The following is a 26,163-nucleotide window of genomic DNA, read 5'->3' as shown; positions in this document are numbered from 1 at the left end:
TTTAAAGTTTCGTGTATTTATTTTATGCTTTATATGTCTTTTTAGAACACCATAAGACTAGATTTTGTAAACACCTTTGCTTGAACATGATAGTTCCTATTCTTTTAACCAATAATTTTAAATCATTTACATTTATGTAACTATGATATATTTGAATTGCTTTTACTATCTTACTTTTTATATTTCCTTTGTCTTGCCTTTTCTATATTTATTTTTTGTATTGATTTGAAAGTTGAAGCTTTTATAGCTATCCAGTAATCACTTTCCTGAAATCATTATCATGCATATTTAATTTCACCATGCATATCTTACCGCACCTTGGTTTAATTACACCCTCCCAACATGCAATGACAATATTACTCAATATTTTTTATATTAGTCATTTCTGTGGTAAATATATGTATAAATTAAATGTATGTGGTAAATATAAATATCAAAAAGTTTACTATTTTTAACCATTTTAAGTGTATATTCACCTAACAACAACCACGGTCCATTTCAGAACTTTTTCATTTTCCCAAACTGAAACCCTATACCCATTAGCAATAACTCTTTTACTCTAGCACCTGGCAACCACCATTCTACTTTCTGTCTCTATGATTTGACTACTCTAGGTATCTCCTGTAAAGTGGAATCATACAGCATCTGTCCTTTTGTGAATATCTTATCTCAGTTACTGTAATGTCTACAATATTTACCATTGCTTTTAGAATGTGTCATAATTTATTTTTAATGCCGATTAATATTCCATTGTATTCATATACAACAATCTGTTTATCATTCATCTTCGGATGAAACTTGATTTGCTTCCACCTTTTGGCTATTGTAAATAATGCTGTTATGAATGTGGATGTATAGCTATCTTTCTGAGTCTCTGATTTCAATTCTTTGGGGTCTATACCTGGCATTGGAATTGCCAGATCATATGGTCCTTCTGTTTTTAATTTCATGAGGAACTGTTTTCCACAGTGGCTGTATCATTTTACATCCCCACCAGCAACTTCGTGGTGAGAATGTAGAATCGTGTATGGATGAGTAGCAGAGGAGAATATGATAGACATTTCAGAAGCACACATAAAGAATGACAAATTTACAACAACATTTTTCAAGTACGGATGTGTCCTCTGCAGTACTTATTTAAATGTGTTTTCATTCCACATTCCACGCAGAAAATGAATTTCTGAGAGTTTGGTAATGTGCATTTCGTGTATGTTCATATTTGAGAATGGCTATCAAAGGAAGAAGATGTGACATTCTATCATGAATTTAAAAGCAGGTTTTATAAAAGTGAGCTTTTCAATCGACTGAGCATCCAGTGGAGAAAGAGGGATTGAAAGAGTTTCCCAGACAGGCACAAATGGAAGGTGCCTTAAATATAAGTGGTAGAATTATTCTTGAGGAGTAAGATGCCTGCTCAACCTTTCTTTTCTTCAGTTTGCTATAGAAAACTTGTGAGAGAGAACATAAGATTACAATGAGCTATTAAAAGAAGCACAAGTAGCTAAACGAGCGGCTGCTTAAGGTACATCTGGGATGATGGTGGGAAGATAGCTGTACCTACTGGTATTAACCAGAAGTTATTTTCTTGATGAAAACAAAAAATATATATTTAAAGTAAACAGCACAGTAATTACTCATTTGAATTAATCATAAGATTGCTTTAAGAAATGGAATGTTGTAGGAAACCCAGTGAACAAATTCTGAATGCGTCAGCATCATTTAATGCCATTTCCAAATTTAAAAAATGTGAGCACTAATACTGTTTTTTCACTATATTTATCTTTTCATGCCCAGCACATAACAATTCTTGAGCTCATTTTCAAATTTTGTAAGTGCCACACACTTTATAAGGTGCTCTACATTATTTCACAAACCTCTAAGAAACGAGCCTGATCACTACTCAAAATGCATCTATCTACTTCATTAAAGAGTATATACCAACATGGCGGAAAGAAAAATACCTACCACGTGGGTTGGTGAAGGCCAGTTAGTTCTGGAACCATTTAAATAACACAGATGTGAATTTCGTTTACTTAGGTTTCTGAATATACAGCATATGCTGATTTTGAAATCTAAACACTGGAAGAGCAGCTGTGAAGTGATGAAAGCGATCACATCATGTTAGCCTTAATCAGAATAGCTCTTGAGACAGTAATGGAGTCGATATACTGAAAGAAACAGCTGGCTTTGTTTTGCCTTAGAATTAGCAGCAATATGGATGAAACCCAGCTGCTGATAATTCTGATTAATTATGTATCAAACTAAAGTTTTCTTTTTTTTCCATGATAGCTGAACATAAAGTTTCCAAGGTTTTTCTTGTTTGCTTTTTTAATGTATTAAGCACAGACACTTTCTACAGAATTTGATTTTATATATGAAATTATATAGAAACTGATTTAGGATGTGATGAAAGTTCTCCAGCTTCAGCATTCGAGTGTGCCTAGAGGTAAATTTTGACCTTGTCAGTGGGTGACAGCTGAATTATGATTCAGCTCCTGTGAAAAATGATATGTCTCCAATATTAGATTAATTTCCTGTAAACTTTACTATTCTGCATTACCAAACCTTGTAAATGTCATCTTTATCCATCATCCTGAGGTATTTTGATGTTGCTTGTATAGTAATTTTGATTTCATTTTCAGTTTATCTAAAGCGACAGTTATTTCCCTATTAAATCACACTCTACATTTTTATTACAAATTTCACTAAAAGATCCATAATATGCCTTTGAAAAATTATGAATGCTTGTTTAGTTTCCATGTAAATTAGGTGACACAGGGATGACTAGGATGAAGCATCAGAAAATAACTATTATACCTAAATTAATATGTTTTCATAGAATATACAAATAATCCATTGCCAACTGATGGGTAGTGTCTTCCATTAATATGCTGTTTATACATAATATGAAATTCTGAACATCCGAGTCATAATGACTTCCTTCAAGTGTGAAGAACACTGAACAAATGCACGTGGAATCTGATGTTCCAGTCCTGGGACAACTAAGTCACTCAATTACTTACTTATGAAGATGACACTCAGTTTCAATGGACTTCTCTTTATTGGTTTACCAAAAACAATGTAATTAAAGTATCCATTTCAAAAGCCACTTTCGGTTCAAGTTCCAAAATGCTTTAAGTTTATTACATTTAAATGTAATAAACTTACATTTAAATGTAAGTTTATTACATTTAAATATAATAACATTTAAATGTAAGTTTATTACATTTAAATATAATAACATTTAAATGTAATGGACAATTTCTTTATTGTTTTCACATCTAAATTTTATACATAAACATACATAAAATCAAAACAAATGTATCATTTCAACATTCATGTATGCATTACAGATTACATGAAAATACAGAGAATGATAATAATTCTAGGTATAAAACATTGCAAAAGGGGCCACAATGCTTGGCAACCAACTCTACATCAGGTGATAGAGCCTCTTTCCCCACTGCTATAATCTGGACTGGCTTTATGACATGTTTTGAGCTATTGTTACAGCAGACACATTATGCCAGTTCTGAGACTAGGCCTCCAGAAGTCTTGGAGCTTTCTCTCTTGCTCTCTTGAAACTCAGAACTGCTCTGGCAAGAAGCCCAGGTTAATCTATTGGATTTTATGAGACAGCTAGCCAACTCTGAACACAATCTTCAGCTGGATACCTGGGTCTGGCTGAGATGCAGACAAACCATTCAGACAAAGCCAGCCCAAACTGTCAACTCATAGAATTGTAAGCTAAATCAACATTGCTTGTTTTAAGCCACTAAGTTTTGGGACACTTCATTACACAGCAATAAATAACAAATACAGTAATTAACACCAATTGAGAATCTACGATGTCAGGTATTAGTTCGGACATGTAACATAGGATGTCTCACTCCAGTCTCTAGGTAGGAATTATACCTACCCTCAGTTTACAGATGATGTTCATGAAGTATAGAGTTTACTTAACTTGCCTAAGTTTATAGAACTAGCAAGCTGTGTAGCCATAATTTTAACAATCATTCTGACATCGAGTGATGAAATCATAGCCATTACTTCTCTATGCTTAAATGAAACAAGTTAGTGTTTTTTGGTGCCTTACTCTCTATAATATAGTTGCATGCATACATGGATACTTGCATAGGTATGCATTTACAATTACTACCATCTGACTTTGTAGAACAATCTACCCATAAGTTCTCCAATTCAAAATTCTTGCATATTTAATGTATTGCTCTTATCAAGAAGGTGGTCATGTTGCTCCAAGAGTTGCTTTTCTTCAATTTCTTATTGCATGAGTGCTTGAAACAGTGTGTTTGTTGCTGCTGCCAGAGTTCTGAAGTCAACATGTTTGTTACTATATCCTCCAGCGTTGAATGGAAATCTATTCCTCACTATGCAGGTTGAAAATTAAGTTGTAGTCCAACAGTAATAACAGTATCTGATGGTAACATTTAAACTATGTATTAAGTGAGGATTAAGTAAGCATTTGAACTCTCTTTTAAGATCTGGCTTCAGAGCACTTTTTGTATGTGAAAATTTATTTTAAATAATTAACAATGGATTTGCCAATCATCTCTGGAATTTTTAAAATGTTATTCATAAATTTATTTATAGGTGCAGAAGTCCCTAACATTAAAAAAATGTATACACATATGCACGTATAAATATTTGTCTGTTTATACATTTACATGTTAAGTCCACATGACTTTTTATTTTAACTCTCCACTACTAATAACATAAAGATTCAAGGACAAGTATTATAAATTTAATAATTTCATATGATTCAATGGAATAAAAATCACTTTTTATACTTACATGGCAATATGAGTTGAATTTTTTATTTTTCCAAAAATAGTTTTAGAGAAAGGTGATTTAATAAAAAAAAATAGGAAAAAGAAATCCCACTGCTGCCAATTCAAGGGCATGCTGCATTTGTTTGATGCTAAACAATAAACGAATTTTATAATTTATTTAATTATATTTTTAATTTCCATATTAAGCTATTACGCAGCATTGTATGATTTAAACCCACCTAAAAAGACAAAGGCATATATGATTAATCTCCTAAAGTTTTTTTGAAATAGAATTCATTTTAATCATAATCACAGATAAATGAAGGTGGATGGGAAAAAATACTTTGTTCAGTTTAAGGATAATCTAACTGACTATCGGGGAAAATTCAGCCCCCAATATTTCACATGGGTCCTTTTCTATTTTCCCTCAGTGTTGGCCGGTCTGAGAAATAAAGGGAAAGAGTATAGAAGACAGAAATTTGAAGCTGGGTGTCCGGGGGAGATATCACATGTCGGCAGGTTCCGTGATGCCCCCTGAGCCGTAAAACCAGCAAGTTTTTATTAGCAGTTTTCAAAGGGGAGGGAGTGTATGAACAGGGTGTGGGTCACAGAGATCACATGCTTCAAGGGCAACAAAAGGTCACAAGGCAGAAGGTCAGGTAGAAACCAGAATCACTAATGAACTTCCATGTCCTGCTGTGCACGCATTGTCAGGGTTCAAGAGCAGAGAACCGGTCTGACTAGAATTCGCCAGGCTGGAATTTCCTAATCCTAGCAAGCCTGGGGGTGCTGCAGGAGACTAGGGCATGTTTCATCCTTATCTACATCTGCATAAGGCAGACACTCCCACGGTGGCCATTTTAGAGGCCCTGCCCTGGGAATGCATTCTTTTCCCAGGGCTGTTATTAATATTCCTTACTGGGGAAAGAATTCAGCGATATTTCTCTGGCCCATTTTCGGTAATAAGAGAAATATGGCTCTGTCCTGCCTGGCCCACAGGCAGCCAGACTTTAAGGTTATCTCACTTGTTCCCTGAAAATCGCTGTTATCCTGTTCTTAAGGTGCCCAGATTTCATATTGTTCAAACACACAGGCTCTACAAACAATTTGTGCAGTTAACGCAATCATCACAGGGTCCTGAGGTGACATATATCCTCAGCTTATGAAGATGACAGGATTAAGAGATTGAAGACAGGCATAGGAAATCACAAGAGTATGGATTGGGAAAGTGATAAACGTCCAGGAAATCTTCACAATTTATGTTCAGAGATTGCAGTAAAGACAGGCGTAAGAAATTATAAAAGTATTAATTTGGGGAACTAATAAATTTCCATGAAATCTTCTCAATTTATGTTCTTCTGCTACGGCTTCAGCCAGTCCCTCCATTCGGGGTCCCTGACTTCCTGCAACAACTGACCAAATAGTTTTATCAAATGAAGATTTAGATTCACTTATTGCTTTATTCAGAACTGTCTATATTGATGAATTAAATATATGGTATTACACGGAATTAATTGTGCAATTTGCTAAACTCTGCTTCATGCTTCATTTGCATTACATTGAAATTCATGAAACATGTTTGCACAGTTGTCTGAGAATTATCCTTTGACCATAGCAAACATATTGTTGCAAAAACAAACCATCCAAAACAAAAGAGAAGGATTGGCACATATAAACCTATAGATTTGCAGTTGCTTAAAATGAAATTCTGAAAATGTAATTTTGCCAAGAAGTCTCCTGGTGCAATAATTAAATTTGTCTTTGTCTGAATGACTAAACAGTCTTCTACAGAAAGTGAAATTTGCCAGATAATTTAGAATACATTATTATGCCATTGCCACCTCTTAGGTTACTGATTGGCCTTTGGGAAGCCATCGGGAGGCAAAATCCCTCAGATCTAAATGTAGTTAAGATTACCTCTAAGTTTTTTGCAAGAATCCATGGGGGATCTCCAAACACTGGCATTGAAATTCGCATATAGTGGTTCACTGAAGAACACGATTCTAATCATCTTATTTCCTCCCCAAAAGAAAAGAAAGGAATTTCAGCCACAGGAATGAAGTCACACCATCTTTCCATTGACAACGGAAAATATATTTGTCTTCAGGAAATAATAAAAATTATAGAGTTGCACAAAAATGTGCTATCGCCCTCAGTTCCAATCTCTGCTGCTGATAAAGACATACCTGATACTGGGCAATTTACAAAAGAAAGAGGTTTAATCGATCTACAGTTCTATGTGGATGGAGAAGCCTCACAATCATGGCAGAAGGCAAGGAGGAGCAAGTCACATCTTACATGGATGGCAGCAGGCCAAAAGATAGCGCTTACACAGGGAAACTCCAGTTTTTAAAATGATCAAATCTCACAAGACTTATTCACTATCATAAGAACATCATGGGAAAGACCCATCTCCAAGATTCAATTATCTCTCAGTGGGTCCCTCCCACAACACGTGGAAATGATGGGAGTATAAGATGAGATTTGGGTGGGGACACAGAGCCAAACCATACCATTCTGCCCCTGGCCCCTCCCAAATCTCATGTCTTCACATTTCAAAATCAATCATGCCTTCTCAACAGTCCCCCAAAGTCTTAACTCATTTCAGCTTTAACTCAAAAGTCCACAGTCCAAAGTCTCCTCTGAGACAAGGTACAGGGTCTTGCTGTGTCACCCAGGCTGGAGTGCAGTGGTGCAATCTCAATTCACTGTAACCTCTGCATCCCAGGTTCAAGCAATTCTCCTGCCTCAGTCTCCTGAGTAGCTGGGTTTACAGGCATGCATCACCATGCCCAGCTATTTTTTTTTTTTTTTTTTTTTTTTTTTTTTACTAGAGATGGGGTTTCACCATGTTGGCCAGGCTGGTCTTGAACTCCTGACTTCAGGTTACCCACCCGCCTCGGCCTCTCAAAATGCTGGGATTACAGGCATGAGCCACTGTGCCCGGCCTGAAGTTATTTCTTAAGTGTAAATATTTTTTTCATTTTCTTCTTTTCCAATCTCGTAGGGCTAAATAGATCATATGCCATATAAAGACTACTCAGGCATACACATATTCTGATCAACCAAATTGTGTATTATTGTGTTATCCATTGTAAAATATATTTATTTTCCACTTCAAACAGGTCAGTTTGGGCTTGAAAGCCAGACTTCACATTTGAAGTAACAATTATAGGCTTATATGAATAAATTCTGTAATATTTTATCCTATGGTATCTCCCAAATTGTCCAAACACCAAAAGCAATTTCAAAAACTAGATTTGAAGTTTTAAAAGCACACATTTGTATTCGATTTCTACCATCAGTTCTTGGTTGGGTACAAAAATGAACAACATTGAAATGAAGGTAAAATGAAGTAATGACTTCCATTTTATTGTAAATGTAAGCCTATTAATAGTTTATATGACAAGTTCTGGAGCCTATTTATTTGGTAAAATCCTGAACCTACAATTGCTAGACGTATCATTTTAGATAATTCATGAAATGCTGTCTGCATTCATTTTCTCATGTGTAAAAGGAGGTTAATAGTATTATATCATTTACATGGTGCTATAAGGATTATGTAAAATAATGCATATAAAATGAATAGAACAGCATACGAAGCATAGTGATTAAATACTAAATGTTAACTATCAATAATATTACTAGTTGCTTATATAAACAATAATATATCAAAGTTTGTAACAAAGCAGCCATTTCTTCGAGTATTATTTCCAAACTTTGTGTGTAAGAAAAATCACTCTGTATTAGTTCCACTAAATCACATTAAATCTGCATCCACCGTCCTGTTGGAATGCCTGGAAATAAAAATTGCTAACATTTGCAATGGTGCTTCCTCACACCATTGAACAAGGATCTGAGATTATCATGTATTTGCCCGAAACTTGGGAAGGACGCTTTCATGTTGAGGTTGCCATTGTCACTGATATCTCTTCTGTCCAAAATCACATCGCCCTTTAAAGTAAAATTTAAGCAAGATAATTTTTCAACAGTTTTGGGATTCAGAAAGGCTAGTTAGCTAGATGGACATGTCCCATGTCCATCTCCTTGGAGTTTCTTTCCCTTTAGAGGATTATTGCCAGGAGTGGGACTTGAATACCCTTTACTGTCCTGCCAGCTGCAAGACTCATAGATTCCTCTCCAGGATTCTAGTCATAGTGAATTTCCCCCACCAAGGGGCAGCTCCATGGCTATGTGACCAGTGCAATCGGACAGGGCTCCACACTCCGAGACTTGCTGTTTGATGCTCGCTGGTTGCTCTCCTAATAATTTTAATAAATTTCCCTTTGAATTTGAACTGTAAAGTGATGTATGATGGGGGAATACAGCATGCCCTAGGACCTTAGAACACTGATACACACACATGGTCTTGCTTTGGGGCTTTCTGGCCTTCCCTGGACTGGTTCTCAGCAGCTGGCTTCCCAGTCTCTGCCAGTGACTGCTGACACCCTCTATCCTCAGAGGGGTCCTGGGTGTGGATGTGAAGAAGCTCAGGGTTGGGCACATGTCCCATGAGCCTAGTTACAGAGTGGGGCCCCTGGCACTTGTCAGGGTCTGTGTTCCCCTATAAGTATTCCTGTGCTGAGAGAGTGCAACATTAAGATAAAATTTTAAAACATCATGACTGTTTATAGGGAAATCACAAAAGGAAGAATGAAGCATTTTTCCTCCTTTTTTGAACAAGGGGCCCTGCGTTTTTATTTTGCACTGGAGTCCACAAGTTATGTAGCCGACCTTGCCCCCAACTACGGCATGGTTTCTTCCTCTTGCTACTTTTTCTCGCCCCATCTTTCTAGCATGGCTTCGGAAACCTATCTGTAGCAATTGAAGTTGTCTTTGAACTTTGTAATCTTTCCATGAGCCAAGGGAGAACAAACACATCTAAACAACATCCTTGAGTCACCGGATGGAGAAAACAGCAAAAATCAAAACGAAGCAAAAGGCTTAAACTGAATATCCAACTATAAAAATTGAGTAGAATGCTTTTTGAGTTTTCGGCATTTACCTGACTTGATCCCCAGAGCCAAAAAATGAGTAGGTATGATTTTACAGGTCCTTATACATTAAAATTCTCAAATATAAACATGGAGGTGTTTTTGTGTCTGCTCACTGTCATGGTTGACAAGCCCTTCAGCAACAGCACTCAGACAAAACAACCACTTACAGCTATGTAGAAAGGCTCAGGGCCAATACAGTGATTTATAGGAGAGGACACTGTGGCATTTAGATGAAGAGAATTTCATGAACACAAATCTTCCAAATGCTTCAAGGATAGGGGGATATCTTTTTTCATTTGAATTAAGAAATATTGAAAGAGATACAAGTAAAGGAATTCTACCTTACTGAAAACATAGTATATGTGAAGTGACCAAATCTTCATAAGCTGACTATTTTTTTTTTTCTTTCCTTTTGTGCTTCTAGTGCTGAAAGTCCTGTGTCCTACAAAACAGTCCAGTTCCAGGCAAAACAGGACCATTGGTCACCCTATGTGTGTTGGTCATCCTATGCATGTTATTTACTCTGCTAGGCCCACTATACAGTTACCATAGAATAATATCTGTTACTAAAATATAAACAAAGGCCCAGAGACAAAGATGAAAACTTCGTGAGGAATGCAAATCTATTTCTAGAAGAGAAAATACATTGGAAAGTGATGAATATATGAGAATGTCACGTCAAGGAATGCTGACTAAAGTACACCCAGAAATCCTGATTAATACTGAAATTCAGGGGTAAATGATAAGATATTAACTAGCAGCTCACTGTACAATGAAATACTGAGTAGGGACAAGTTGCACTGAAGTACATTAAGTTTAAATAACTTTATTTTAAGAACAACTCAATGCTAAACCTGGATGTAATATGTGAGATGATGTAATACTCATATAAAACAAAAGTGTCGTGTCAAAGAGGTTTGATTTTCATTTGTGGAATTGTTTTTATATGATTTGTATGACTTGGAAAGCAAAGTCAGTTTGATGTTTGTTCTTTTAGTTATAGCTGCAGGTATAAATAACAATATTTTTAGCAGAAGCATCTTTGAATAAAACAATGAATAATGTGTTTTATGGTTCATTAACCATGTTAATACATATTTTGCCAGTCAATTTGAAAAAACAGATTAAAGCAGGGTTTACTGATTTATTTTACAAAACTTGATCAGGAAATAAGAGCATGTTTTGATTACAGTGTCCAACCTTACAACAAATAAATTCTTTTATTCTTTGCATTTTTATATGCCAGATTTTCTTTAGCATTTCTCTCAGATATTTTCCTAGTCATAGTAGTCTTTTATTTGTTTGTTTAAATTTTTATGGTTCAGGCTGGGCGCAGTGGGTCACGCCTGAAATTCCAGCACTTTGGGAGGCTGAGGCAGGTGGATCAGAAGGTCAGGAGTTCAAGACCAGCCTGGCCAAGATGGTGAAACCCTGTCTCTACTAAAAATACAAAAATTAGCCGGGTGCAGTGGCAGGTGCCTGTAATCCCAGCTACTCGGGAGACTAAGGCAGAAGAATCACTTGAACCAGGGAGGCGGAGGCTGCAGTGAGCCGAGATTGCACCACTGCACTCTAACCTGGGCGACAGAATAAGACTCCATCTCAAGAAAAAAAAAAAATTATGGTTCAATACAAATCAGGATGATTTAAGACAAATTACATAGCAATAAAATACATTGCAAAACGGAAAAGTGATTTTCCTCATTATCCTAATTATTACTTCAAACGCTTTCAATTAGGCTTTTAATATCATTAATTTTATTCTTGATTTTTGTTTTAATTTCTTTTTTCATTTAGTTCTATATATTAAGAATAAATAGATAAAGCAATTAAGAATTCAGAAAGTCAACTAAACGAAGACATGAGCCAAAGGGAAACTTCCAAGAACCATGTAAAGTAACTTTTATGAAAGGCAATACATAGACATGAACACCTCTCTTACTTTTTATCCAACTACAATGCATCCACAGTCCGTTTTTCAAATTCTATTGTGGTCTAGCAGCAGGCAGGAAGGAGAAGACTACCACATTCCACAAAGAAGGTAATTTAGCCAGAGGAATGTGGAATCATGGCAGAATTATGTTGATGAGAAGGAAACACAAAATTTCAACTTTCTTCTATGCATTTGCACAGAGGGCCAGACGGCGCACTTCGTTATGTCTTGGACCTGCCCTAGTTATTTCCAAGTCTTCCCTCAATTGTCATTGACCTTCATTCACACATGGTTTGTTGGCCACATTAGCAAGAACTCTGTGAACAGCAGTGATGGATGTTTCTTTACTGATCCCCTTCCTCTCCTCCAATTCTCAAGGATGAGTCTCAATGGCTTATTAAATTACAGTTGAATAAACAATATAGTGGGTGTTGTTTAATGAGTTAACAGTAAAATGAACCAGAGAACTAATCAAGTGATAGCACAAATATTCACGTGTTTTAACTGAGTAAAAATCATTCCCTTTACAGTTTTATCACTTGACCTTTAATACAATTATTGGGTATCAACCTAAATGTGTCTCAGATATTGTATGTGTTATGATGAAAGCAATCCTCTACATATTTCTATATATTTTTGAATACTTGTATTTTAATGCATATTCCTATATATCTTTTTCTACATGTTTTTTGGCTTTTTAGGAAACAACATAGATATCTCCTCTTCCTAGGCCAAGTGCAGTAGCTCATGCCTGTAATCCTAGCACTTTGGGAGGCCGAGGTGGGCACATCACTTGAGGTCAGGAGTTCAAGACCAGCCTGACGAACATGGTGAAAGCCTGTCTCTACCAAAAAATACAAAAAAAAAAAAAAAAAAAATAGCGGGGCATGGTGGCACGTGATTGTACTAGTCCCAGCTACTTGGGAGGCTGCGATGGGAGAAATGCTTAAATCTGGGATCCTGAGGGAAGCTGCAGTGAGCCGAGATCATGCCATTGTGAGACCCTGTCTCAAAAAAAAAAAAAAGAAAGAAAGAAAGAAAGAAGAAGAAAAAAGATATATTTTCTTCCTAAACTTAGTATTAAATACCGTGCCCCCCATCACTCCCTTCTGTAAATTACTATATGGTTTCAGTTTTAAAGTATGGTAAGGAAAATATTTTATAAAACGAAATGGGCTTTCAAGAATAGATTTTCTATAACCAGGCCTGCAATAAGGTACAAATTTATAGAAATTAAATTTCTTTTAAATGTGTTGTACTTTCAGAAATCTGTTCTATTTCCTTTACTCCACCCCCAATATTTATTCATTTCACATAGCACTGCTTTATATTTGTTCATGAACACCCCCAGGAATAGGTGAAAGTGTCCTTGCATTGTAATCCTCACTATTAAATGAAAAAAAAAAATGTTTATGTAGACAAGGAATCACATTTAATAAATTTTGGTAACAATAAACTAAGGTCATCAAAGGAACATGTACACCTGCAGAAAATAGCCTTTGTGATAGATGATATCAATACCTAAACAGGGACACATATGTAGATTACAATATTAAAGAAAAGGAAAAGAGGAAGATAGCTTTGGGTCATTGAATTATGTGTTGTTATGGTAGTAGCAAAAATAAGAAAAACCAAATAAATAAGATTTTGTCCTGGAATTAAATATACAGGATAATAAAATTTAATAGTAAGAAAAAGAAATTTCCACAGAGCATTAACCATATGGTATGTGTTAGTTTTAAACGGTGTTTTTTAGCATGCACATTACATTACTCATGATATTATGGAGAAAAGAGTTTTTAATTTATTTAGAACTTAAATAGCAAATGATATAATGTAGACTGTCCCATTGTCCAGGAAGCCAATCTTTTATTTATTTAATATCCTTCTAAACCTTAATAATATTTAGTTTCACTATGATTTCCTGAAAACTTTTCTTCAGTGGAAGTTAATGTGGTATAATATTGAAGATATTTGCCTCTATCTAGATTTTTTTTAGTTTTCCAGCAATGTTAACTTCATGAATAGAATAATCAGAACACCATTGTTATTATGCCCTTACTTTTTCTGCAAACATAGGAAACTAAAACGAAATAATAGAACATATAATGTATATGAAAATTACTACTGTGTAGAAAAAGACCATGATCACTGGTATCTTGTCTTGGTTGTTATAGTAGTGCATTCTTAGGCTGCTAGAAAGATCTGCCTGAGACTGGGTAATTTATAAAGGAAAGAGATTTAATTGACTTACAGTTCCACATGGCTCGGGAGGTCTCAGGAATCATGGCGGAACGGGAAGCAAACACGTCCTTCTTCACATGACAGCAGGAAGGAGAAGTGCCAAGCAAAAGAGGAAAACTCCCTTATAAAACCATCAGATCTTGTGAGAATTCATTCACAATCATGAGAACAGCATGGAGGTAATCACCTCCATGATTCAGTTACTTCCCACTGGGTCCCTCCCACAACATGTGATGGTGCTGAATATTTTTGTTTTCCTAAAAATATGTTTGAGCTTTTCTGTGAGACATAATTAAATTACTTGAATATAGTTTGCTACTTTCATGTCTTGCTTGTAAGCTTTGTTAGGGAAGATCTGCACTGTATTTACTCTAGGGCTAAATTTTAATTTTTATTAAAGGTAAGACCCTTCCTAATACTCTATCTGATTCCCCATTAATTACAAGGCTTTCTACTCTGCCTTGAAATGAGCATTATCCCTGACCCTATGTGATCTGTGAGCGCCATTCTCTTTAATCTTTTTGAAACCACCCTTGCAAAAATCATAATTAAGAAAATTATTGCAGTGAGAGTTCTGACCCAACCAAATCCATATTGCTTCTAACCTCCAAGCTGTTCTTGTTCGTTCCTGGGTATAGACCAAACTAACTTTAGGAGGAACTTAGTTTATAGTTTAACTTTGAAACAAAGATGGGATAACAGCCCTTTCCCAAAACAAACCTTCTTCCTATCTGGGGACTATACTGTCTTTGCAGGACAAATAAATTAGCTACAAAATTAGAATTTATGGTTTAAGAGTCATACAGCTAGAGGCTTTAAGATTCTGAACCTCCTCAAATTGCTCCTGGGAATAACTTCTCTATTATAAAACTGACTACGAGTGCTTGAGGTATTTTGCAGAACCTGTACTTGATGCATCAGCTTGCACCACCCAGATAGATAACTGGCTCATCTGGTTTTGTGGCCCCAACCAAGGAAACAACTCAGTGCAAAAGGACAGCTTCAACTTTCTATGATTTCATCTCTGACCCAACCAATCAACACTCCTGACTCACTGGCCCCTATCCACCAAATTATCTTAAGAAAAAAAAATCCCTGAATTCTCGGGGAGACTGATTGGGGTAATAATAAAACTCTATCTCCCATACAGTTGACTCTGCATGAATTACTCTTTCTCTATTGCAATTTCCCTGTCTTGATAAATTGGCTCTGTCTAGGCAGTGGACAAAGAGAACCCACTGGTTACATTTTGAATAGGTTTCTTCCTCAGCCTCAAATTCCTTCCTCAAATGCATCTTTTGATACAACACAATGTAAATCAAAGAAAATGACTGAGGTAAGTCTCAGGAATTTTAGAGTTTAATTTTCCCAAAGTCGAGGACCTGCCTGGTATTAAAGAGGACCAAATATGGCCAGAGAATGACTCTGTAATTTTATAGTTCAGTCCTTTTGGACAAACCGTAACCTAACATAATAGGTAGACTAGAGTGAAAACCTAACAAGAGTACGTGCACATAACAATAGCTGAGTCCTAGCCAATCCCAGCAGCCATACTTCAGCCACCTATACACTGCTGAGTGTTCAAACTGTGTTCAAATGAGGCAAATGCCAAGCTGTAACCAATCCAGCTGTTTCTGTACCTCACTTCCGATTTCTGTACACCACTTTCCTTTATTTGTTTATAATTTTTTTCTGACCATGAGGCATCCCTGGAGTCCATCTGAATCTGATGTGATCCTGGGTGCTGCCCAATTCATGAATTTTTTTTTCCTTGTGTAATTAAACTCCGTTAAATTTAAATTGTCTGAAGTTTTCCTTTTAAACTGGGAAAAAGGAACACAAAACCACAGGAACGTGTGTGATCTAAGCTTTTCCAAAGGCAGCCTGGGGTCTTCTCTATTTAAAGGGGAAAGGGTGGGCAGTCGGGGAAAGAGGAAAGGGAAAGAAGAAAAAAAGGAGAGGGAAGATAGATAAAAGGGGCAAGAGGTTGCATAGCTGCATTCTTTTGAGTCTTTGATCAGCGTTTTCTGAATCGACATTTTACATTTGAAAGGAGGGGGTCAGTCAATTATGCATGCCTCTCATGCTCAGTGAATCTGCATTTTTACGTAAGCTAAACACAGATTAGAGAAAGCAGACAAATATGTAGTTGTGTCAGGTGAGCAGAGGGATGATTTTGAATTCTGTCCTTTGTCCTATACCTGTGAAGATAAGCTGTTAATTTACATTGTCAGGATGAAATTCAACAGAATTGTTTTAGGGTAAATGTCTTGGGGACCACAGGGAATTTCCTAGTGCACAAATTGTGAGGGAGGTATGTAAACTTGTGTCTTTAGCTATCTATTTAGGAACAAAATGGGAAGTGGTTTTCTGTGACTCCGTTCTTAAGCTTGACTTTTCTCTTCCGCATAGTGAGTTTGGGGTCCTGAGATTTTTTTTTTTTTCACAAGTACTTAATTGAATCCCTGAAGGGGAGTCTGCACATCTAAGGAGTTCTCTTTCTGTGTGGGTTTTTTCTCTCCAGTGTTCTACCGAGTGTATAATAGAGAATTTGGCTTCTTCAGATTCCTGATTTTACCTCCACCAAGTTCTGCCTGGGTTTCCTCTCCATAAGCCATGATCTGGACAGCCCCTCCAGCAAATAAGATGGGCATGCATAGGTGTTATGACATTATTTTGTGTACCTCAGGAATCCCTGTTTTTTGTTGTTGTTGAATGACCAGTGTCTTCAATGCCAGTGTTTCATATATTTTTGTCTTTTTGTTATTAGGTCACATGAGAGTATAAATCGAGTCCCTGCTATTCCAACTTGAATCAACCTGTGGGTTATTTATAAGTTTAATCTGTTGTAACCAATATAACAGTTGCTGTAGAAAATGGCTTGCTATATAACTCAAAATATCCTGAAAAGTCTTAATAGTTAGGCAGCTTACAGCAAGTACATAGATATGGCAGGTATTGCAGGTTGTATTGCTATATACCTTTCTTGTGTCAGAGAAAATACTTGCCAAACTGTCACCTTTGAAAACTTGAAAATCAAGCCATGTGCCTACTAAGCTTGCAATTCTAGGGGAAACATTTGTATAGATCCAGAATGTCAATATGTATCAGTGGTGTTTCTTAAGGCTTACAGCAAAGTACTACAAACATAGAGATGAGCTCTGGAAAAACTGGATGTTTTACAGGTGATAGAAAGAATTTATAAATTCAAGACATTAAAGGTTGGGAAGCGGTCTGCAAGTACATTTCCTACTAGGGCAAGTGTTTCAGATAGCCTCAAGAGATACACCATCGTGTGTGTGTGTGTGTGTGTGTGTGTGTGTGTGTGTGAGAGAGAGAGAGAGTGAGACAGAGAGATGAGAGAGAGAGAGCACTGAAAAAAAGTAAATAAATACAGCAGGAATAAGTACAATATCCAGAAAATATTTTGATATGATTATTAACCCACATATGTGACTATAATGAAATTTTCCAGGAATCTGTATGTTTGAGAGAATTATATTACTGATCAAACCTCAAGTTTGGCCTGAAAAGTCTGCGATTAATCAACAATTATTATGACTCTTCAGACCCCAAATGTGTGAAACCACCTTTGCAAAAATTGTAACAGTGAGAAAATTATAGCAGTGGGGGAGATCTGATCTGACCAACCCCCATTCTGCCTTTGGTCTTCAAGCTGCCCTTAGTTGTTCTTGGGCTTAGGCCAAGATAACTTTCAGAGACATTTATTTTATAGTTTAAATGATAAAAGCCCTTCTCCCAGACTCAGATGCCTTTGTAAAGCTCATGAAAAATCACGAGGCTATGGGGATAGAGGAGCCTGAATTCTACTAAGGTGTCAACTTAATTCCAGAGGTTAGATGTAATTCCAGCCGTTATTCCAGAGGTCACAAGATATGCAGTTTCTCCAATTGCTCCTGCAGACAACATAACTATTGTAGAACCTAAGATTGGCATTTGGAGACACCTTTTCAGCAATTTTCCATTTCTGATGACTGATGGCTCCACCTGGACCCATCTGTGGCCCACAGGGAATTCCCTGGTGAGCAAATTGTGAGGGGGGTATGTAAACTCTTATCTTTGTAGCTATCTATTTAGGAACAAAATGGGAAGTGGTTTTGTGTGACTCGATTCTCAAGCTTGACTTTTCCTTTTGGCATACAGAGTGGCATCACAGAGGAAGGGAGTATCCTTTAAAGGTGGGAAAAATGCAGATGGTCCTTTGATGGCCGGGGCAGAGGGTGGCAAAGGTTAGTGGCACAGGACCCACCTATGGCTCCTATGGCCTCACCCGGAAGTGTCTCAGCATGAAGGAGGACCATTTCCCACACCCCTATGATTTCACCCTCAGCAAGTCAACAGTGAGCACCCATTGCCTAGCCACCCCCAACCCTTCACCCAAACTACTTTTGAAAAATCCTAGCCCCCAAATGCTCAGAGAGATTGATTTCAGTAATAATTGCATCTCCCTCAAGGCGTAACCAGACTTGCATGAATTAAACTCTTTTTTTACTGCAATGCCACTGTTCCCATGATTTGATGTTGTTTGTACTGTGGGTAGGAAGAACTCATCAGATGGTCACACATACATTAGGCTGCAAAAGATTCTCATTCTCCAAGAAGGGCATACTTTCCTATGTTCACAGTGGTGATAGAGGATTATGACCAAGGAAGAACATTTCAGAAGGCAAAGTCAAAGCCAAAAAAAGCAAGAGATTATATATTTCCACTGTTCAAAGTATTTTCTCCATTAACAGGGAAGAATGTCTTCCCATTCCTGTCCAACAGTATTGCATTATTGTTATGCTTCAATTTCTACTGAGTAATTCCTATTTTCCCTTTACTAATCGAAATACTTTGTTGCTGTCATTGCTATCTTGTTCTTTGTCACCATTTACATTGGTAGAATCTGATATTTCATTCATTAGGTTTCTGGACCGTAGAGATTCACTTGCAGACCTGATGTAGAAGGCTGAACCCCACCCAGAGGTTGTAAATTTGAGCTGAATACAATGTCTGTATTAGACATCAGCTTCTTCACAGAGGAAGGGAGTATACTCCAAAATTGGGAAAAATGCAGACAGTCATTTGATGGCCAGGGGCAGAGGGTGGCAAACACTGATGGCTGACCACAAAATCCATCCTCTTTTTCATGAACATGCAGATAGACTGCCTTTCCAAGCCTCCCTTGAGCTTAATGCTTAATTTTGACAATGTATTTGCACCTAGACAAGGTAATGTGACTATAAGTGATGTGTGCTAATCTGGTTGTGGCTTTTGAAGCAAAAGCGTATCTCTACACAGACTTTCTCCTTCTGAAAATGCATGTAGATCACAGTAAGACATTAGTAGTTGGAAGAGCCACACAACAGAAGAAGGCTGGATTCTTGAATCACCACATGAATCAGATCCATTTGCCCACTAAATATGTGCTCTCAATAATCCTTAAGAAAAAAACACCTCTTTAATCTTTGAACTTTTGTGTTCTCTTATCTCTTATACTGATATCCCCTGTTACAGTTAATGTACTCCAACATCTAACAATTCCTCTCTTATGATATATCCTTGAGAATCTGTTGCTTATATGCACCAGGGCATGTATATAAGAATGCTCAAAGTAGTACAGGGCATTAAGATAGATACCCAATAATAACTGAGTACCCTTTATACAGGAAAATTAACAGTTGCATATTTATGAAATAGAATATGGAACATAAGCAAATATGAACTGTATGTAGTATCATGAATAAATCTTAGACACGTGGCATAATGTGATAAAAGCCAGATGCAGAAGACAAATTGCAGTATAATACATTTTAAAGCTCAAAAATAAGCATAGGTTAAATATTTGATGTTTAGAGTTACATACATAAGTGAATAAGTTTAAAAGTAGATACGACAAATTTATAAACAAAATTGGAAGTGGGAAAAAGCATACCAATCTAGGGTACTGTTAAAGTTTTACTCCTTGGGCTACATATTGGTTTTATGGGTATACATTATATTATCATGTTTAATGATTCACATGTATGTTATATGTAGTGTTTTATACTTATCCAACATTATAAATAAAATGTAGTAAAGAAAAAAAAATCCAAAGCAATTGTTATTGATGCAACAAACTAGAAGATATTGCTACTTTCTGAAATCCCTTTTGCTCTGTCATTATTTCAAATGTAAACTTCATTTTCATCCCACACAAACACACCAAGGCTCATAGGGTGTGGAGCTTGGTGATGACCATTGATGATGAGTGAGGCAGCCATTTGGGGACAATGTGGAAAGACGTAGAAGAAACTATACTGTGGTGGATCAAAATTGAGTGAGAAAGTTAATGCACATCCCAGTTCTGTCCCAGAGGACAGAATTTGGAACTGCCTCTTTTCTGCTCATAAAGTCTTTAAAATAATAGCAAATATATTTTCATGGAATATTTCTAAATTTACAAGGCTAAAGAGCAAAAGAATCCCATGAACGGATCATAAATTTTGAATTCTTGAAAAAAGGAAAGACAACTCTAATTGGTGGGGTGAAAACACCATGCAAAATATATAACCCGTCTAGGGTGGAAGTGGAACAATTCTGGAGGTGTGCCAAGTATGGAGTCAGTAGGGGCAAAACAGGAGAGCGTCTTTCAGTGATCTCTTAAGGGGCCGGAGAGCAACTGGGCATGTCCTTATTTCCTGGCTTCGGCTTGGATGAGGTAATTGGCATTGATGATGACTGTCCCTGGGGTTAATTCACTCTCTTTAGACCCTGAAGCGAGAGTGGTACACAGTGTTTTATGTCTTGTACTCTAGATGGAGATTGCCTGAAGGAAAGGGATAAATAAATTCTACATGGAGGAAAGTTAAAGGACTGTTAGACTTGGTTCAGTAGCACATTCTGCATCCCTTCTGAGAATAGAAGTTTCATTCTCAATCAAGAACATGAAGTTTCCCATGTGTGAATAGAAGCTCAATAAATATTTAATCAAAAGAAATGCTAAATAGGAGTGGTGAGAGAGGGCATCCTTGTCTTTCACCAGTTTTCAGAGGGAATGCTTACAGCTTTTGCCCATTCAATGTGATATTGGCTGTGGGTTTGTCATAAATAGCCCTTATTATTTTGAGTTATGTTCCATCAATATGTAGTTTATTGAGAGTTTTAACATGTAGAAATGTTGAATTTTATCAAAGGCCTTTTCTACATCTGTTGAGAAAATCATGTGGTTTTTGTCTTTGGTTCTGTTTATGTGATGGATTACGTTTATTGATTTGCTTATGTTGAACCAGCCTTGCATCCCAGGGATGACGCTGACTTGATCGTGGTGGATACATTTTTGGATGTGCTGCTGGATTTGTTTTGCCAGTATTTTATTGAAGATTTTCACATCGATGTTCATCAGGGATATTGGCCTGAAGTTGTCCTTTTTTGTTGTGTCTCTGCCAGGTTTTGGTATCAGGATGATGCTGCTTCATAAAATAAGTTAGGGAGGAGACCCTCCTTTTCATTTGCTTGGGATAGTTTCAGAAGGAATGGTACCAACTCCTCTTTGTACCTCTGGTAGAATTCAGCTGTGAATCCTTCTTGTCCTGGGCTTTTTTCTTTTTTGGTTGGTAAGCTATTAATTATTGCCCCAATTTCAGAACTTGTTTGTTATTGGTCTATTCAGGGATTCAACTTCTTCATGGTTTAGTCTTGGGAGGGTGCATATATCCAGGAATTTATCCATTTCTTCTAGATTTTCTAGTTTATTTTTGTAGAAGAGTTTATAGTATTTTCTGATGGTAGTTTGTATTTCTGTGGGGTCAGTGGTGATGTCCCCTTTATCATTTTTTATTGTGTCTATTCTTCTCTCCTTTCTTCTTTATTAGTCTAGCTAGCAGTCTATTTTGTTAATCTTTTCAAAGAAACAGCTCCTAGATTCGTTGATTTTTTGGAGGTTTTTTTCATGTCTCTATCTCCTTCAATTCTGCCCCGATCTTAGTTATTTTCTGTCTTCGGCAAGCTTTTGGATGGGTTTGCTCTTGCTTCTCTAGCTCTTTTAATTGTGATGTTAGGGTGTCAGTTTGAGATATTTCTAGCATTCTGACAAGAGCACCAAACTCAACAATAATTAGCACCAGAAGAAAATGAGTTAGTAGTACATGTAGATAAGATCAAACCATCAGATCTACTCACATTCATTAATTTAAAAAGTTAAACAGAATACTTTGGTCAAATTACTAAACGAGGACTTCTGAACTGAAATATTTAGCTAAGAGACTTATCTAAAACATAGAACCAAATTTTTAAAAACAATAAGAGCATAAGAAAGAAAGTGTGGATAGAAACCTGAGAGGAAGAAATGGTCTCCAGGTTGAGAGGGTATACTGAGAGCTGAGACAGATGGATAGAAAAGGGCTAACGCAGACAAATTACAGTGAAACTCAAGAATTTCTAAAGAAAAGAAGAGCCTAAAAACTTTCAGATAGTAAAATAACAGAAACAAATGGGCTCCCTACCAAAAGAAGAACAAGAATAAGAAAAAAACAGCTACAGTCCTCAATGGTAAAAATGAAAATCACCAAGGTCAATCAATGTCTTCATGTCTTCATGCCTGGGAAGGAAAATATTCAAAAAGTATGTAATCTCATCTTCTGTGAAACCAGCATTATAGCATGAGGGAAAATAGAGATATTATCAAAATATTAGAGGGCAAAAAATCAGAAAAAAAGAAAAATCAATCAAAGAAAAATGATTAGAACAGGACTGCAAAAAGGAAAAATTAAGTCAAATTGTATCATCAGTCTCATATATTATTATATCCAATTATATCAAATCTCATAAAATCATCGAAAATCATATACTAAGATTAAATTATAACATTTTAAGCTTTCAGATTTGGTTTAAAACATTTAGTTTTATGATATATAGAAACCACATGAAATAAAAATAACACATGCATCAGAAATACCTAGCAAAATAAAAAGGTTTTCCCTTCTGCAAAATTTAAATCCAAAGAAACAGAGCTGGTTGATGATATGGTCAAATATACTTCTATTACACTGTTGTACCTTCTACCTTTTATTCTTCTTATTGCTGTCTGCTACTTCAGCAGAAGTCTGAATCTGTTCCCCAAAAATTCATGTTGAAACTTAATCAGCAATATGATAATATTCAGAGGTGAAGCCTTTAAGAGATAATTAAGTCATAAGATCAGAGCCCACATGAATGACATTAGTGACCTTAGACATCAAAACAGCTTTTCATCACTCTTCTGCCCTTCTGCCATCTGGAACACAGAGTTGAAGACACCTTCTTGGAAGCGGAGACTGTACCCTCACCAGACACCAAACCCACTGCCATCTTGATCTTGAACTTTCCAACCTTCAGAAACATGAGCAATAAATTTTTGCTGTTTTTAAATTACCCAGTCTCAGATACTTTCTTATAGCAGCATGAATGGGCTAGAACACTATCCTTACAGACAGTATGGTTGTTTGATGTCTCTCTTGTTTGTTAGAAGTGCAGAAGGTGTTCCTTAAAGACCTTCTCTGACCTCTTCATTTTAAAAAGGAGAAAAATGGGTGTTTAGAGAGATTTAATGGCTGGCAGAGGACCACACTGTCTGATTCTTTTGGAGTTCTCCTGCAATGACATTATATGTTCTGTTTATTGCCCTTAAAAATTATGTACTCTAACTATTCCAAGAAGTTTGTTTCTAATAGAGATATAATCCCAATTCCATCTATAGTAAATCAAGAAGAGAGGCCTCTGGTATTTTTAAACTCATTCTAGAAAAAAAAAATTCACCTTTTAAAAAATCCCCAATGATTCAGGTGGTACTTTCTGGGCAGCCAAGGGAAATGAGGTAATAATGAATAGACCCTATTGTCACATAGATCAGGGCATGTTAAATGCGGTTATTCCATATTATGTAATTTCCCAGTAAGCATGGAAATCAAGCACCTATACCTCTTTTTTCCCCCAAATGAGTTAGATTTAATCATCAGAAGCAAATTAAATGGAAATTTTACAATAGAGAAGTATTACATGTCAGTGTCTTTTGAAACCTGAGTTTGGACAGGAAGGGACTGGGTGCTACCTCTCAGTCTAATCCCTTGCAAAGACATGTACAGTGTCCCTGGTACTTTGGCTCAGGAAAGGGGGAGACTCTGCTGGTTCTGTATGTTGAAATCAACTTGCCCACCACTCACTCTTTGCTAGCACCAGTAGTCTTGCCTTGCTGGCCCTGCTCCTTGCCCTTCCTTTTGTGGCCTGTAGTAATGACATCAATCCATAAGAGCAGAACTACAGTCTCCATTGCTGCCCTTGATGTCTGCAGCTTCACAGCCAATGGCTCCTATATGCCCAGTTCCTTCATCTCCACCAAAATACTTGTCTCACCACTTACACCCCAGGTCTCATGGTTCTTCTAGGTGTGCTTGGTCTGAAGGGAGGTATTATAATAATAAGCAGATGGATGTTAATGGCCCCACGGTTCTGGATTAGGGTAAGAGAGATGACCTCTACAACCCGGGTAACAGCCCTGTATGGCCATTGTTCATACCAGTCATGACCTTGGATTTTTCTGTCAAGACATGGATCACAGCCATCTCAGAGGCCCCATCCCCTGGCACCAAATGCGGGTCAAAAAGAAAGTTGCAATAAACTTGCACAGCATCCTGGATGTTGTGGTCCATTTTAGAGAGAGTCTCTTTGCCATTCCCCTGGAGGAGAATGGTGCGAACCTTGGGGTCTTTGCATTTACTGATGAATGCAAAGTCCTCATCTCCAATTTTCTTGATTTTCAGCATGCCTACTCCTGTTCCTGTATTAAATAAGATATCAACATGGATTTCAGGAACTCTCCTATGATATACACAATCACTGTCATTTGGTGTGATGGTTACTGTATTTGAAATCTTCCAATGGGCTAAGTTGAGCGTAATGAGTGAATAAAACAGTAAGTTCAACTGAATATACTCAATTTCTCAAGAGACTTTATTTTGTCTTAGAATGTCATGACAAAACAGTCTAAACAGTCAGTGATGGCAATTGTTAGGATCGTGCCCCTTACTTTTACATTGCATCATATCTTATTCATAAGATTATCCAAAGTGAAGGACCAGCAGGACAACTATAAAATTACATCAGTGTTTTCAAATATATTCATTTAAAAAAAAAGTAATAAAAAATAAGAATTTGGTTGCAATGAACAAGGGAAATAATTGCTACTTAAACTTTTACCTTATGGCTTTTAAAAAATGTGTTATACAAAGTAACAGAGCGGAAATCCTTTCTGTTATATTTAGTCTTTTAAAGTTCTGTCTGTTTTTGAAATAATTTTTTTAAAAATCAATGCAAAAATCCTTTTGGTGAATGGTGTTTTGATAACCTCTCTACAAAAGCTGTTCTGGGCATCCTTCACCACTTGCCTGTGTGCATTATCTGTAATCGTCTTTTAATAGACTGAGACTAAATTATTAGAAAAAAATCGCATCGCCAGGGAGTAAGGGTTGTCAGATACTACTGAGATGTAATACATCAAATGCTCAGGCTTTCAGCTTTATCTTATACGCTGTTCATTTTCAGGATACACATTTCAAAAAAAAGTTTTCAACCTTTCTAACCTGTTCTAATTTCAAATGAGCAAAGAAATGAGCACTAACAACAAAGGGAACAATAGAATTAATGAGTCCTGGACAACAGCAACATATTAGATAAAGGGTTTGTGACTAAAAGGAAGATAATTCAAGCCTTCTTTTTCCAGGAGCACGTATTTGGACTCAAAACTAAGTAAAAGTTCCCAAAAAAAGAGTTCTCTTTTATAATCAGGACTTACAGTGGCTTCAAATTTTCAAGAAAAATACAAAATTTTGCAAATGGAAAACTTCGTGGTAATCAATGATTCATTTTTGTCTTAGTCCCATAAATAAAGTCCCAGTAAAATTATGAAAATGCAACCTGTATCTAAAGCAGTTCTGCATGGCCAAAAACTGACAATAATTAAAAGTTTGATATAATAATAAATAATTATAGGTCTAGAATTTTAAAAAACTAATTTTTAATTCCAGGTTAATTTTCTTTCTGTTGAACTTTATTCACCTTGATCATTTTTCATCTTTCTGGAGATTTTCTGTCACTCATATCAGTCACAAATAACTTTGCATAACTATTTTCTCCTTCATCACATACAATAGTTTCTTCTGTGTTTTTCCATTAAATTTGTTCT

At 36.5% G+C, this 26,163-nt stretch overlaps 1 pseudogene, besides 3 other annotated features; it reads right to left on the bottom strand.

The window, feature by feature from the left end:
• Positions 5,192-5,764: an enhancer, noted in NCBI's record as "OCT4-NANOG hESC enhancer chr8:16152188-16152760 (GRCh37/hg19 assembly coordinates)". NCBI's record gives its function as "activates a minimal SCP1, AML or CMV promoter by ChIP-STARR-seq in primed H9 embryonic stem cells {active_cell/tissue: H9 hESC(primed)}" and the evidence as "EXISTENCE:reporter gene assay evidence [ECO:0000049][PMID:30033119]".
• Positions 15,057-15,997: an enhancer, noted in NCBI's record as "OCT4-NANOG-H3K27ac hESC enhancer chr8:16141955-16142895 (GRCh37/hg19 assembly coordinates)". NCBI's record gives its function as "activates a minimal SCP1, AML or CMV promoter by ChIP-STARR-seq in primed H9 embryonic stem cells {active_cell/tissue: H9 hESC(primed)}" and the evidence as "EXISTENCE:reporter gene assay evidence [ECO:0000049][PMID:30033119]".
• Positions 15,998-16,940: an enhancer, noted in NCBI's record as "OCT4-NANOG-H3K27ac hESC enhancer chr8:16141012-16141954 (GRCh37/hg19 assembly coordinates)". NCBI's record gives its function as "activates a minimal SCP1, AML or CMV promoter by ChIP-STARR-seq in naive and primed H9 embryonic stem cells {active_cell/tissue: H9 hESC(naive and primed)}" and the evidence as "EXISTENCE:reporter gene assay evidence [ECO:0000049][PMID:30033119]".
• Positions 24,166-24,766, bottom strand: CCT3P1 (chaperonin containing TCP1 subunit 3 pseudogene 1; annotated as a pseudogene).

Source organism: Homo sapiens, chromosome 8 (assembly GCF_000001405.40).
Source record: "Homo sapiens chromosome 8, GRCh38.p14 Primary Assembly".
NCBI lineage: Eukaryota > Metazoa > Chordata > Mammalia > Primates > Hominidae > Homo > Homo sapiens.
The sequence above is the reverse complement of the archived record's forward strand: the minus strand, read 5'-3'. Positions and strand labels throughout refer to the sequence as shown.